This window comes from Homo sapiens, chromosome 10, assembly GCF_000001405.40.
Source record: "Homo sapiens chromosome 10, GRCh38.p14 Primary Assembly".
In the NCBI taxonomy this organism is placed as follows: domain Eukaryota; kingdom Metazoa; phylum Chordata; class Mammalia; order Primates; family Hominidae; genus Homo; species Homo sapiens.
The window spans coordinates 74,711,783-74,725,282 of NC_000010.11; positions in this window are offsets into that span (position 1 = coordinate 74,711,783).

Genomic DNA, 13,500 nt, shown 5'->3' on the forward strand with positions numbered 1-13,500 from the left:
CATGGTGGCTCACACCTGTAACCCCAGAACTTTGGGAGGCCAAGGTGGGTGGATCACTTTAGCCCAGGAGTTCGAGACCAGCTGGGCAACATGATGAAACGCCATCTCTACAAAAAAAAAAAAATACAAAAATTAGCTGGGCATGGTTGTGCATGCCTGTGATCCCAGATACTCAGGAGGCTGAGATGGGAGGATCACTTGATCCCCGGAGGTTGAGGGTGCAGTGAGCCTTGATTGCACAATTGTATTCCAACCTGAGGGAAAGCCTGCCTCAAAAAAAAAAAAAAAAAGAATTATACGCAAATAATGAATTCTAGTTAAATAAAATACATACTGATAGAGATAAAGTGTACTGAGGTTTTCAACCTATGGTAAAGTGCATCAAGAAATAAACACAAAGAGGGAGATGAGTAGATGAAAGCTAAGGTAAATATAACAAAATTTTTTGAGACAGGGACTTAATCTGTTGCCCAGGCTGGAGTGCCGTGGCACCGTCTCGGCTCACTACACAACCTCCGCCTCCTGGGCTCAAGCAATTCTCATGCCTCAGCCACCCTAGTAGCTGGAATTATAGGCATGTGTCACCACACCTGTCTAATTTTTGTATTTTTAGTAGAGATGGGGTTTTGCCATGCTGGCCAGGCTGGTCTCACTCCTGGCCTCAAGCGATCCTCCCACCTCAGCCTCCCAAAGTGCTGGGATTAAAGGTGAGAGCCACTGCACTCAGCCAATTTCCTATTTTTTAAAAGGCTGAATAGTATTCAATTGTGTATATAGATTACATTCTAAAAATTAATTTATCCATTGATGGGCACTTTGGTTGTTTCCATGTCTTGGCTATTGTGAATAATGCTGCTGGGAGCATGAAAGAACAGACATATCTGTGACATACTGATTCCAGTTCCTTTGGGTATATGCCCAAGAAGTGGGATCGTTGGATCATGTGGTAATTATATTTTTAGTTTTTTAGGAACCTCCATGCTGTTTTCCAAAATGACTGTACTAATTTACAATATCACCAACAGTATGCAAGTCTTCCCTTTTCTCCACATCACCAGCATTTCTTATCTTTTGTGTTTTTGATAATAGCCAGTCTAACAGGTGAGAGGTGATACCTCATTGTGGTTTTAATTTGCATTTCTCTGATGACTAGAGATCTTGAGCATTTTTTCACGTATTTGTTGGCCATTCATATGTTTTCTTTTGCAAAATGTCTATTCGTGTCTTTTTCACATTTTAAATAGGGTTATTTGTTTTCTTATTACTGAGTAGTTTTGAGTTCCTTATATATTTTGAATATTAGCCCCTTACGTGATGTATCATTTACAAATATTTTCTTCCAATCCGAGGGGTGTATTTTCACTTTATTAATTCTTTACTATGCTGAAGCTTTTTAGTTTGATGTAATCCTATTTTTCTACTTTTGTTTTCATTGCCTGTGCTTGTGGAGTCATATTCAGAAAACTGCTCTCCAGATCAATGTCATTAAGTTTTTCTCCTCTTTTCTTCTAGTAGTTTTATAGTTTCAGATGTTACATTTAACTCTTTACACTCTGTTGCCCAGGTTGAAGTGCAATAGTGCAATCACGGCTCACTGCAGCCCCAACCTCCCAAGCTCAAACAATCCTCCCACCTCAGCCTCCCAAGTAGCTGAGACCACAAGCATGCACTGCCACACCCAGCTAATTTACTTTTATTTGTTGTATAGATGGGGTCTCCCTATGTTTCCCAGGCTGGTCCCAAACTCCTGGGCTCAAGTGATCCTCCCACCTCAGCTCCCCAAAGTGCTGGCATTACACAGCACCTGGCAAAGTTGTTCATTGTATGAGGTGAGATAAGGAGCTATTTTCATTCTTCCATTTATGGATATCCACATATGGAAGAATGGAAGTTTTCTCAGCACCATTTATTGAAAAGACTGTCCTTTCCCCATTGTGTGTTCTTGGCACCTTGTCATAAATCAATTGACCATAGATGTATGGATTTATTTCTGGAATCTCTGTCCTATTCTGTTGGTCAATATGTCTGTTTTTAATGCTAGTACCATACAGTTTGGTTACTATAGCTTTCTAATAGATTTTGAAATCCAGTAGTGTGATGCCTCCTCCTTTGTTCTTTTTAGTCAAGATTGCTGTGGTTATTCAGGTCTTAGGTGCTTCTATATAAATTTTAGGATTTTTTTTCCTCTTTCTGTGAAGAATAGTATTGGAGGCCAGGTGTAGTGATTCATGCCTGTAATCTCAGCACTTTGGGAAGCTGGGGCAGGCAGATTGCTTGAGCTCAGGAGTTTGAGACCAGCCTGGGCAACAAAGTAAGACCCCATGTCTACAAAACATACAAAAATTAGCCAGATGTAGTGGCATGCACCTATAGTCCCAGCTACTCAGGAGGCAGAGGTGGGAGGATGGCTTGAGCTTGGGAGGCAGAAGTTGCAGTGAGCACTCCTGCCTGGGCAATAGAGCAACACCCTGTCTCAAAAAAAAAAAATAAATAAAATAAAAAGAATGACACTGGAATTTTGATAGGGATTGCATCACTTTGGGTAGTATGGACATTTTTTAAATATTAATTATTCCGATGCATGAACAAAGGATATCTTTCCACTTATTTATGTCTTTAGTTTCTCTTTTAACATATTTAATGTTTCCAACTGATTCTTAAATTTCTTTCATCAATGTTTATAGTTTTTAGTATATAGATCTTTCACTTCCTTGGTTAAATTTACTCCAAAGTAATTTATTCTTTTGTTGCTATTGTAAATGGGATTGTTTTCTTATTTTTTTTCAGATAGATCATTGTTAGTATATGAAAGTGCTACTCTTTTGTATGTTGATTTTGTATCCTGCAACTTTACTTCATTCATTTATCAGTTCTAATATTTTTTGGGTGGAATCTTTTGGATTTGGTATATATAAAATTCTATCATCTACACAGACAATTTCACTTTTTCCTTTCCTATTTGGATGCCTTTTCTTTTCTTTTCTTTTCTTGCCTAATTACTCTGGCTAGCACTTGTAGTACCATTTTGAGCCAAAGTGGTGGGAATGGGCATCTTTGTCTTGTTCTTGATCTTAGAGGAAAATCCTTCAACTTTTTATCACTGAGTATAATATTAGCTGTGGCCCGGTCATATATGGCCTTAACTGTATTGAGGAACATTCTTTCTATACCTAACTTGCTGAGAGTTTTTATCATAAATAGATCTTGAATTTTGTCAAATGTTTTTTCTGCATCTATTGAGATGATCACATGGTTTTTGTCTTTCATTCTGTTAATATGATGAATCACATTTATTGATTTGAATATGTTTAATCAGCCTTACATCCCAGGGATAAATCCCATTTGATCATGGTAAATGATCCTTGAATATACTATTGAATATGCTTTGCTAGTATTTTGTTGAGGATTTTTTACATTTATGTTCATCATTGATATTGGCTGGTAGTTTTATTTACTTGTAGTGTCTTTGTCTGGCATTGGTATTAGGTTAATGATGAACTTGTTTAGAAGTATTCCCTCCTCTTCAATTTGGTGGAAAAATTTGAGAAGGATTGGTATTAGTTCTTCTGTAAATGGTAAAATTCAGCCATGAAGTCATCTGATCCTGGGCTTTTTTTTTTTTTTTTTTTTTATGGGAGACTTAATTACAGACTGAATCTACTTACTCATTATTGGTCTGTTCAGACTTCCAATTTCTTCATGATTCAGTCTTGGTAGGTTATATGTTTCCAGGAATGTACCATTTCTTCCAGATTGTTCAATTTTTTTGGTGTTCATAGTACTTTTTTATGATCTTTTGTATTTCTGTGTGTGTTATCAATTGTAATGTCTCCTCTTCCACTTTTATTTTCTTTTTTGTCACCCAGGCTGGAGTGGAGTGATGTGACACAACGCACTGTAACCTCAGACTCCTAGGCTCAAGTGATCCTCTGCCTGCATTAGCCTCCCAGTTGGCTAGGACTACAGGTGCTCACTACCACACCCAGCTCACTTTTTTATTTTTTGTAGAGACAGGGTCCTGCTATGTTTTCCAGGCTGGGCTCAAACTCATCTTCCCACCTTGACCTCCCAAACTGCTGTAATAACAGGTATGAGCCACCGTGCCTGGCCCCATTTTGTTTATTTGAGTCTTCTCTCTTTTCTTTTTTTGTTTTTGTTTTTGTTTTTGAGACAGAGTTTCACTCTTGTTGCCCAGGCTGGAGTACAATGGCGCGATCTCGGCTCACCGCAACCTCCGCCTCCCAGGTTCAAGCGATTCTCCTGCCTCAGCCTCCCTAGTAGCTGGGATTACAGGCATGTGCCACCACGCCCGGCTAATTTTGTATTTTTAGTAGAGACGAGGTTTATCCACGTTGGTCAGGCTGGTCTCAAATTCCTGACCTCAGGTGATCTGCCCGCCTCGGCCTCCCAAAGTGCTGGGATTACAGACATGAGCCACCGTGCCCAGCCCTCTTTTATTTCTTATTCTAGCCAAGAGTCCATTTCATGGCTGGGTGTGGTGGCTCACACCTGTAATCCCAGCACTTTGGGAGGCCAAGATGTGTGGATCACCTGAGGTCAGGAGTTTGAGACCAGCCTGGCCAACATGGTGAAACCCCATCTCTACTAAAAATACAAAAATTAGCCAGGCATAGTGGCGGGCACTGTAATCCCAGCCACTTGGGAGGCTGAGGCAGGAGAATGGCTTAAGCCTGGGAGGCAGAGGTTGCAGTGAGCTGAGATCGTGCCATTGCACTCCAGCCTGGGTGACAGCGTGAGAATCCATCTCAAAAGAAAAAAAAAGAGTCCATTTCATTTAGCTTTTCAAAAACCAATTTTGTTGGTCTTTTCTATTTATTGTCTAGTCTCTAATCATTTATTTCTGCTCTGATCTTTGTTATTTCCTTCCTTCTGCTAGCTTTGGGCTTAGTTTGTTCTTCTTCTAGTTCTTTGAGGTGTTACATTTGTTTTTTTGATAACTTTTTTCATTTTGAAGGTAGACATTTTTTGCTATAAACTTTACTCTTAGAACTACTTTCACTGTATTGCATAAGTTTTGGTATGTTTTGTTTTCATTTTTGTCTCAAGACTTTTTAAAATTTCCCCTTTAATTTATTATTTGACTTAAAGAATAGGTAGAATGTTCTTTATATGTCAGTTAGGTTTATTTGGTCTGAAGTAGAGTTCAAGTACAATGCTTCCTTATTGATTATCTGTCTGAATGATCTGTCTGTTGTTGGAATTGAGATATTAAAATCCCCTACTATTATAGCGTTCCTCCAGTCTATGTGTTCCTTCAGATCTCTTAATGTTTGCTTTATATATTTAGGCGCTATGATGTTGGGTGTATATGTATTTACAATTATAATATTCTCTTGATTAACAGACCCCTTTATCACCATATATGACCCTCTTTGTCTCTATTTACAGTTTTTTTCTAAAGTCTATTTTATCAGGGCTGGGCACGGTGGCTCACGTCTATAATCCCAGCACTTTGGGAGGCCAAGGCAGGCCAATCATCTGAGTCAGGAATTCGAGACCAACCTAGCCAACATAGTAAAACCCCATCTCTACTAAAATACAAAAATTAGCCAGGCATGGTGGTGCATGCCTGTAGTCCCAGCTACTCGGGAGGCTGAGGCAGGAGAATTGCCTGAACCTGGGAGATGGAGGTTGTAGTGAGCCAAGATCATGCCAGTACACTCCAGCCTGGATGACAGAGCGAGACTCCATCTCAAAAAAACAAAACAAAAAAAAGGTATATTTTATCTGAAATAAGTGTAGCTACCCCTGCTTTCTTTTGGTTTCCATTTGCATAGAATATTTTTCCCATGTCTTCACTTTCCATCTATGAATGTCCTTTAAGGTGATATGAATCTCTCATAGGCTGCATATAGTTGGGTCTTGGTTTTTTGTTTTTTAAAATCCATTCAGACACTCTATGCCTTTTGATTGGATAATTTAATCCATTTATATTCAACATAACTTTACTAGGTAGGAATTTACCAGCACCATCTTGATCATTGCTTTCTTATTGTTTTGTAGATGCTTTGTTCCTTTCTTCCTCTATTGCTTTCTTCCTTTGTGGTTTGATGGTTTTCTGTAGTGGTATGCTTTGGGTCTTTTCTTTTTATCTCTTTTGTATCTATTGTAAGTTTTTGCTTTGTAGTTACCCTGAAACTTATATAAAACATCATATAAATGGCTACTTTAAGCTACTGACAATTTAACTTTGATTATTTATACAAACTCTACACTTGTACTCCCCCTCCTCCTATATTTTATATTTTTGTCAAAATTTACATCTTTTATTATTTGCATCTTAACAAATTATTGTAGCTCTAGTTGTTCATACTTTTGCTTCTTAACTTTTATACTACAGATATAATTGATTTACCCACTGCCCTTACCATATTAGAGTGTTTTGGATTTCACAACATACTTATTTTTACCAATGACTTTTATGCTTTTATATGTTTTAATGTTACTAAATAGCATCCTCTTCCTTCAGCATGAAGAAGTTCCTTTAGCATTTCTTGTAAGCCAGGTCTAGTGGTGATAAACTCTCTCAGCTTTTATTTGTCTGAGAACATCTTTATCACTCCTTCATTTTTGAAAGATAAGATTGCTGGGTATAGTATCATGGGTTGACAATTTTTTTTCTTTGAGGTTTTTGAATATGTCATACCGCTTCCTTCTAGCCTGCCTTTGCTGCTTCCCAAACTCTCTCTTTGTTTTAACTTTTACCAATTTGATTATGATGTGTCTCAGCATGAGTCTCTTTTGATTCATCCTATTTGGTTTCTTTTGGGCTTCCTGAATCAGGATTTCTATTTTCTTCACCCAGGCTTAGGAAGTTTTCTGCCATTATTACTTTGAAAATGTTTTCTGTCCTTTTATCTCTCCCCTCTCCTTCAGGTATACCAGTAATGCTTATGCTGTTACATTTGATGGTGTCCCATAAGTCTTTTAAGCTATCATTACTCTTTTAAGTTCTTTTTTGTTTTTGTTCCTCAGATTGGATGCTTTCTAATGATCCGTCTTTAAGTTAAATGATCGTTTCTTCTGCTTGATCTAGTCAGCTGTTGAATCCCTCTATTTAATTTTTCAGTTCAGTCATAGTATTATTCAGCGCTATGATTTCTGTTTGGTACTTTGTTTTCTTTTGGTTTTTGTTTTGTTTTGTTTTGTTTTGGAGACAGGGTCTTGCTCTGTTGCCCAGGCTGAAGTGCAGTGGCACAATCATGGCTCACTGGAGCCTTGACCTCTTAGGTTCAAGCAATCTTCCCACCTCAGCCACCTGAGTAGCTGGAAACACAGGCATGCACCACCACACCTAGCTAATTTTTTAATAAAAATTTTTGTGGAGATACATCTCCCTGTGTTGCCCAGGCTGGTCTCAAACTCCTGGGCTCAAGCAATCCTCCCACCTTAGCCTCCAAAAGTGCTGGGATTATAGGCATGAGCCACTGCTCCCACACCCTGATTGGTACTTTTTAATACTCTCTCTTTGTTGAAATTCTCAGTTTGTTCTTACATTGCTCTCCTGACCTCAGTGAGCATCTTTATGACCACTATTTTCTATTCCCTGTTGGGTAAATTGCATCTCCACTTCACATCAGTTCTAGAGATTTATCTTGTTCTTTGTTTTGGAAATATACTCTCCTATTTTTTCAGTTACCTTTCCTTTTTGTTGGTTTCTATACATTAGATAGGAACTGCCTCTCCTAGTCTTGTCAGACTGGCCTCATATAGGGAATCTCACCAATCCATCTGGCCAGAGACTTTAAATTTTCTCTCAAACCTTTATGTTCATCCAAACTGCTGTTTCTGGTTTTGGTGGCCCTTGGAGATTAGAATGTGCCATGTCCTGGCCAGGCACAGTAGCTTATGCCTGTAATCCCAGTGCTTTGGGAGGCCAAGACAGGAGGATCACTCGGGCCCAAGAGTTTGAGACCAGCCTGGACAACATAATAAGGCCCTATCTCTATATTAATATATTAAATAAAAATAAAGAGAGAAAAAAAGAATATGCTATGTCCTCTCCATACCCCAAGATTGGTAAGGTAGAAGCAGACTCTTTTGATACAGTTGGAAAGGTTGAGGTGTTGCATATGTATTCCAGTTCCTTCTATCTTCACAGTGAAGCTGAGCACAAGCATTTTCTCCCACCCTCTCTGCACAAAGCTGGGGAGAGAATCTGTGGCAAATGTCTGTCTTCACATTCAGGCAGCACCCCTCTGTTCCTGGGGAAATAGCTGCTGGAAGTGGACCCATTGTATATCTGCCTCTTTGTTTTTTGTGGTCTAGGCCACTCAGGAATGCAAAGTCCCATCAATTCCTAGAGTAAGGGGATTTTTTGTTGTTGTTGTTTTGTTTTTTTGGAGACAGAGTTTCACTCTTGCTGCCCAGGCTGGAGTGCAATGGTGCCATCTCAGCTCACTGCAACCTCCACCTCCCAGGTTCAAGTGATTCTCCTGCCTCAGTCTCCCAAGTAGCTGGGATTACACGCACCCACCACCATGCCCGGCTAATTTTTGGATTTTTAGTAGAGACAGGTTTTCACCATGTTGGCCAGACCGGTCTCGAACTCCTGACCTCAGGTGATCCACCCGCCTCAGCCTCCCAAAGTGCTGGGATTACAGCCGTGAGCCACTGCACCCGGCCTAGAGTGAGGTTCTTAAGGAGACAGTTCCTTTGGTAGGAGATGTAGAATTTGTGGCACTCAGTGCATGTAAAAACTCCTTCCCAAGAAGAATGGATAGGCCTGGATTTATCATTGGGGTGAGCCAAAGGAATGGCTCAGGAAGTGCCAAGCCCTGGCTCAGGTTGCTGTAGAGCTACTGTTTGTCTGCCCCATTAACTCCCCATGCAAGTTCATTAGAAGCCAGGCCATCAAGTAGCCACTGGAATTGTGTGCCATAAACCTCATCTGGAAAGAAAATGGAAGCTGTACATTCCAACCCATTTTGTGCACTACTGCAAGGGGGTCTAACCCCTGGAAGTGTTTGTGCACTTGTTTAAAACCATCTCTTTGTTCTGTGATCTACGGAGACTCACATATGACTAGTCCCTTCTGCTCCCAGGTCTAAGAGGTTTAGGATGGAATCCTTTGGGAGATAACTGTAAAAAACTGAAGCACTTGATGCTTGGCATAAGCCTCTTCTGGGGAGAAACAAGGAGCTGCATTTCTATAGCCCCTTCTCTGCACTGCTTCCAGGGGATAAAGCCCCTGGTAATGCTTGCATATGAAACCACTACTTTTTTCTGTGGACTAGAGAGACTCAAATATGCTTAGATCCCCTCTGTTACTAGAGCTAGAAGATTTAGGATGCAGTTCCTCAGATGGAAACTGTAAACATTGGGGTGCTTGTGTGGACAGTCTCCTTCCAGAAGGGATTAATAGACCTGGAGTTATTGCTGGAGTGAACCAGGAAAGAAGGCTTGGGAAGTGCCAATCTGCTTATCAGGCTGCCGGCAGGCTTCTATTTTGTCTGCCTCTTTAACTCCCTGATGCAAGTTAGTTAAAAGCAAGGCTGTCAAGTAGCCACTGAAAGAGCGTGTCATAAACCCCTTCTGGGGAGAAAGAGGGATGCATTTTTTAAGCCCCTTCTCTGCGTTCTTCCCGGGAGATGCAGCCTCTAGCAGTGCTTGTGCATCTATAAAACTGCCAGTTTTCTCCTGTGGTCTAGAGAGACTTGTGTATGCCTGATTCCCTCTACTCTCAGATTTGGTGGATTAAGAAACCAACCGTAGAGAAGTTACATGTTGGAGATTCCTTTCCCAGTTTTATAGCACAGTGCCCAGAATGCTATCCATGCCTGAGTGTGGCTTGGCTTCTCCTACCCACTCAATGTGGATGTTTTCTCAGTTGCCCAGTGGGTGTCTCTCGACTGGTCCCTGATTTTCTCTCAAAGGGAATTGATCTGTAAATAGATGTTGATTTCATGTATCTGTGAGTGGAGGAGAGTCTGGAAATTCCTATTCCACCCTGTTGCTGACATCATTCCTTCCTGTATATCTAATTGATCACCAAGTTCGGTCAGCAGTACCCCTCTTAAATCTCTTCCTCATGTCTCCATCTCCTTTGGTGTAATTTGGAGCATTATCATATATATTTCCCCAACTCTGGTTCTTCCCCATCACCAGTAAGTCCTCCCTCACCATGGGGACACCTTGTTAAAGAGGAAACTCAGTCACATTCCCTGGTCTGTTTAAATCCCTTGAGCATCCACCCCTTAGCCACTTCAACAGCTTTCCTACTGCCATCCCTCCTTATAACCCCCACTTCAGCCTAAACATACCTTATAACTACACTCATGCTTCTAACTGGATTACCACTTTCCCTCTACAACTACTCATATTTAAAGATGCTGTTCAAAAGTCAGGTCATCTGTAATGTTTTATTCTGTAATACCCAGGCAATTAGTTGCTGCTTCATCCGTTTTTCTCTCATAGTACATTGCATATTTCCTTATCATAGTTTATGCAATTGTATTGTATCATATAACTGTTTATTAATGTATATGTCTTCTTCTAAGGCAGAATTATCTACTGCCACATAGTAGATGCTAAATAAATGTTTGCTCAATGAAGACCTTTCTCACTTCTCCAGATTTCTGTAGTGAGTTAGAGACTTAGGAAAGGCAGAGTCACCAGGGATTTTGGCTGCCAGAAAAACTAGCTCTTCATATTATCTGGCTTTACTTCTGCTCCCATCCTCTGTACTAAAACTCTTCCTTCTTCTCGATGTAGCTTCATTCTTAGAAGTCTGTCCCTTGGCCAGGTGCAGTGGCATTGTGGCATTTAACCTGCCCTAGTTCCATGCCCCACATTCCAAGAAATGCAAGAAACAAGAAAGTATAGCCTATATGTGGGGGGAAAATATCAACAAAAAATCGTCCCTGGGGTAGCTCAGACATTAGACTTACTAGACAAAGACGTTAAATCAGCTATTTTAAGTATGTTCAAACAGCTAAATAAAACATGTCTAAAGAACAACAACTAAAGGGCCGGGCATGGTGGCTCATGCCTGTAATCCCAGCAGTTTGGGAGGCTGAGGTGGGCAGATCACCTGAGGTCAGGAGTTCGAGACCAGCCTGGCCAACATGGTGAAACTCTGTATCTACTAAATATACAAAAATTAGCCATGCATGGTGGTGCGCACCTGTAGTACCAGCTGCTCGGGAGGCTGAAGCAGGAGAATTTCTTGAACCTGGGAGGCAGAGGTTGCAGTGAGCAAAGATGGTGCCATTGCACTCCAGCCTGGGCAACAGAGCGAGATTCCATCTCAAAATAAATAAATAAAATAAAATAAAATAAAGAACAACAACAACCAAAAAAGCTTGATGTCTCACCAAATAGAGAATATTAATGAGGAGATAGAAAATATTAAAAAGGAACCAAATGGAAATTCTGGAATTTAAAATTATACTCAGGCCAGGTACAGTGGCTCATGACTATAATCCTGGCACTTTGGGAGGCCGAGGTGGGCGGATCACTTGAGGTCAGAAGTTCAAGACCAGCCTGGGGAGGTGAAACCTCATCTCTACTAAAAATATAAAAATTAGCAGGGCTTAGTGGCCAGCACCTGTAATCCCAGCTACTTGGGAGGCTGAGGCTCGAGAATCTCTTGAACCCAGGAAGCTGAGATCACACCACTGCACTCCAGCCTGGGCACAGAGTGAGACTCTGACTCAAAAAATATATAATTATAATAGCTCAAATGAAAATTTCACAAGAGGGGCTTAACAGCAGATTTGAACAAGCGAAAGAATCGGTGGCCTTGAAGATTGAGATTATCCAATCTGAGGAAGAGAAAAAATATGAATGGAGACAAATGGGCAGACTAACATATAAGCAACATAACACTTATCACACACAATGAAAATCCCAGAAGGAGAGAAAAGAGAGAAAGGGGCAAAAAGAATATTTGAATAAATAATGGCTGAGAACTCCTAAACTTGATGGCAAATATTAATTGACACATCACATAAGATCAACAAATTCCAACTAGGATAAACTTAAAGAGATCTACATTGAAGCACATTAAATCAAACTGCCAAAAACAAAGAATCCCGAAAGTAGCAAAAGAGAAGCAACTCATCATAAACAAGAGACCCACAATAAGATTAACAATTGACTTCTGATTAGAAATCATGGAAGCCAACAGGCAGTGTGGATCAAGAGAATGAGAAAACAAGCCACAGACTGGGAGAAAATATCTGCGAAAGATGTATTTGACAAAGGACTGTTATCCTTAATACACAAAGAATTCGTAAAACTCAACAATAAGAAAAGGAACAACCTGACTTAAAAATGGGCCAAAGAGTTGAACAGACACATCACCAAAGAAATTATACCAATGACAAGCATATGAGGCCAGCCACAGTGGCTCACGCCTGTAATCCCAGCACTCTGGGAGGCCGAGGCAGGTGAATCACATGAGGCCAGGAGTTCAAGACCAGCCTGGTCAATATGGTGAAACTCCATCTCTACTAAAAATACAAAAATTAGCCAGGTGTGGCAGTGTGCACCTGTAGTCCCAGATACTTTAGAGACTGAGGCATAAGAATCATTTGAACCCGGGACATGGAGGTTGCAATGAGCCAAGATTGCACCACTGCACTCCAGCCTGGACAACAGAGCGAGACTCTGTCTCAAAAAAAAAAAGGCATATGGAAAGATGCTCAACCTCATATGTCATTAGGGAACTGCAAATTAAAACAATGAGATAAAAAATTAAAAAACAATGAGATACCATTACACACTTATTAGAATGGCCATAATTTAGAATACTAACAAACATCAAATACCAGAACAACAGGAACCCTCATTCATTGCTGGTGGGAATCCAAAATGGTACAGCCACTCTGAAAGACAGTTTGGTGGTTTCTTACAAAACTAAACATACTCCTACCATATTTATATTCTTTGGTATTTATCCAAAGGAGTTGAAACTTACATTCACACAAAAACCTGCACATGGAGGTTTACTGCAGCTTAGCCACTTTATTCATAATTGCCAAAACTTGTCCTTCAGTAGGTTAATGGATAAGTAAACTGTGGTACATCAGTTAATGGAATATTATTAAACACTAAAAAGAAACACACTACTGGCGAGGCATGGTGACTCACACCTGTAATCCCAGCACTTTGGGAGGCTGAGGCAGGAAGATTGCTTGAGGCCAGAAGTTTGAGATAGCCTGGGCAACATGGTGAAACCCCATCCTTATTTTTTAAGATAAAAAAAAAAAAGAAAGAAACAAGCTATCAAGCTATGAAAAGACACGCAGGGATCTTAAATGCATATTATGAAGCAAAAGGACCCAATCTGAAAAGGCTACATACTATACGATTTCAACTATTTGACATTCTGGAAAATGCAAAACTATAGAGACAGTAAAAATATCAGTGGTTGCCAGGGACTGGGGAGAGGGAGGGATGATGAGGTAGAGCACAGAGGATACTTGGGGCAATGATACTTCCCTGTTGATGTTATAGTTGTAGATACATGTCATT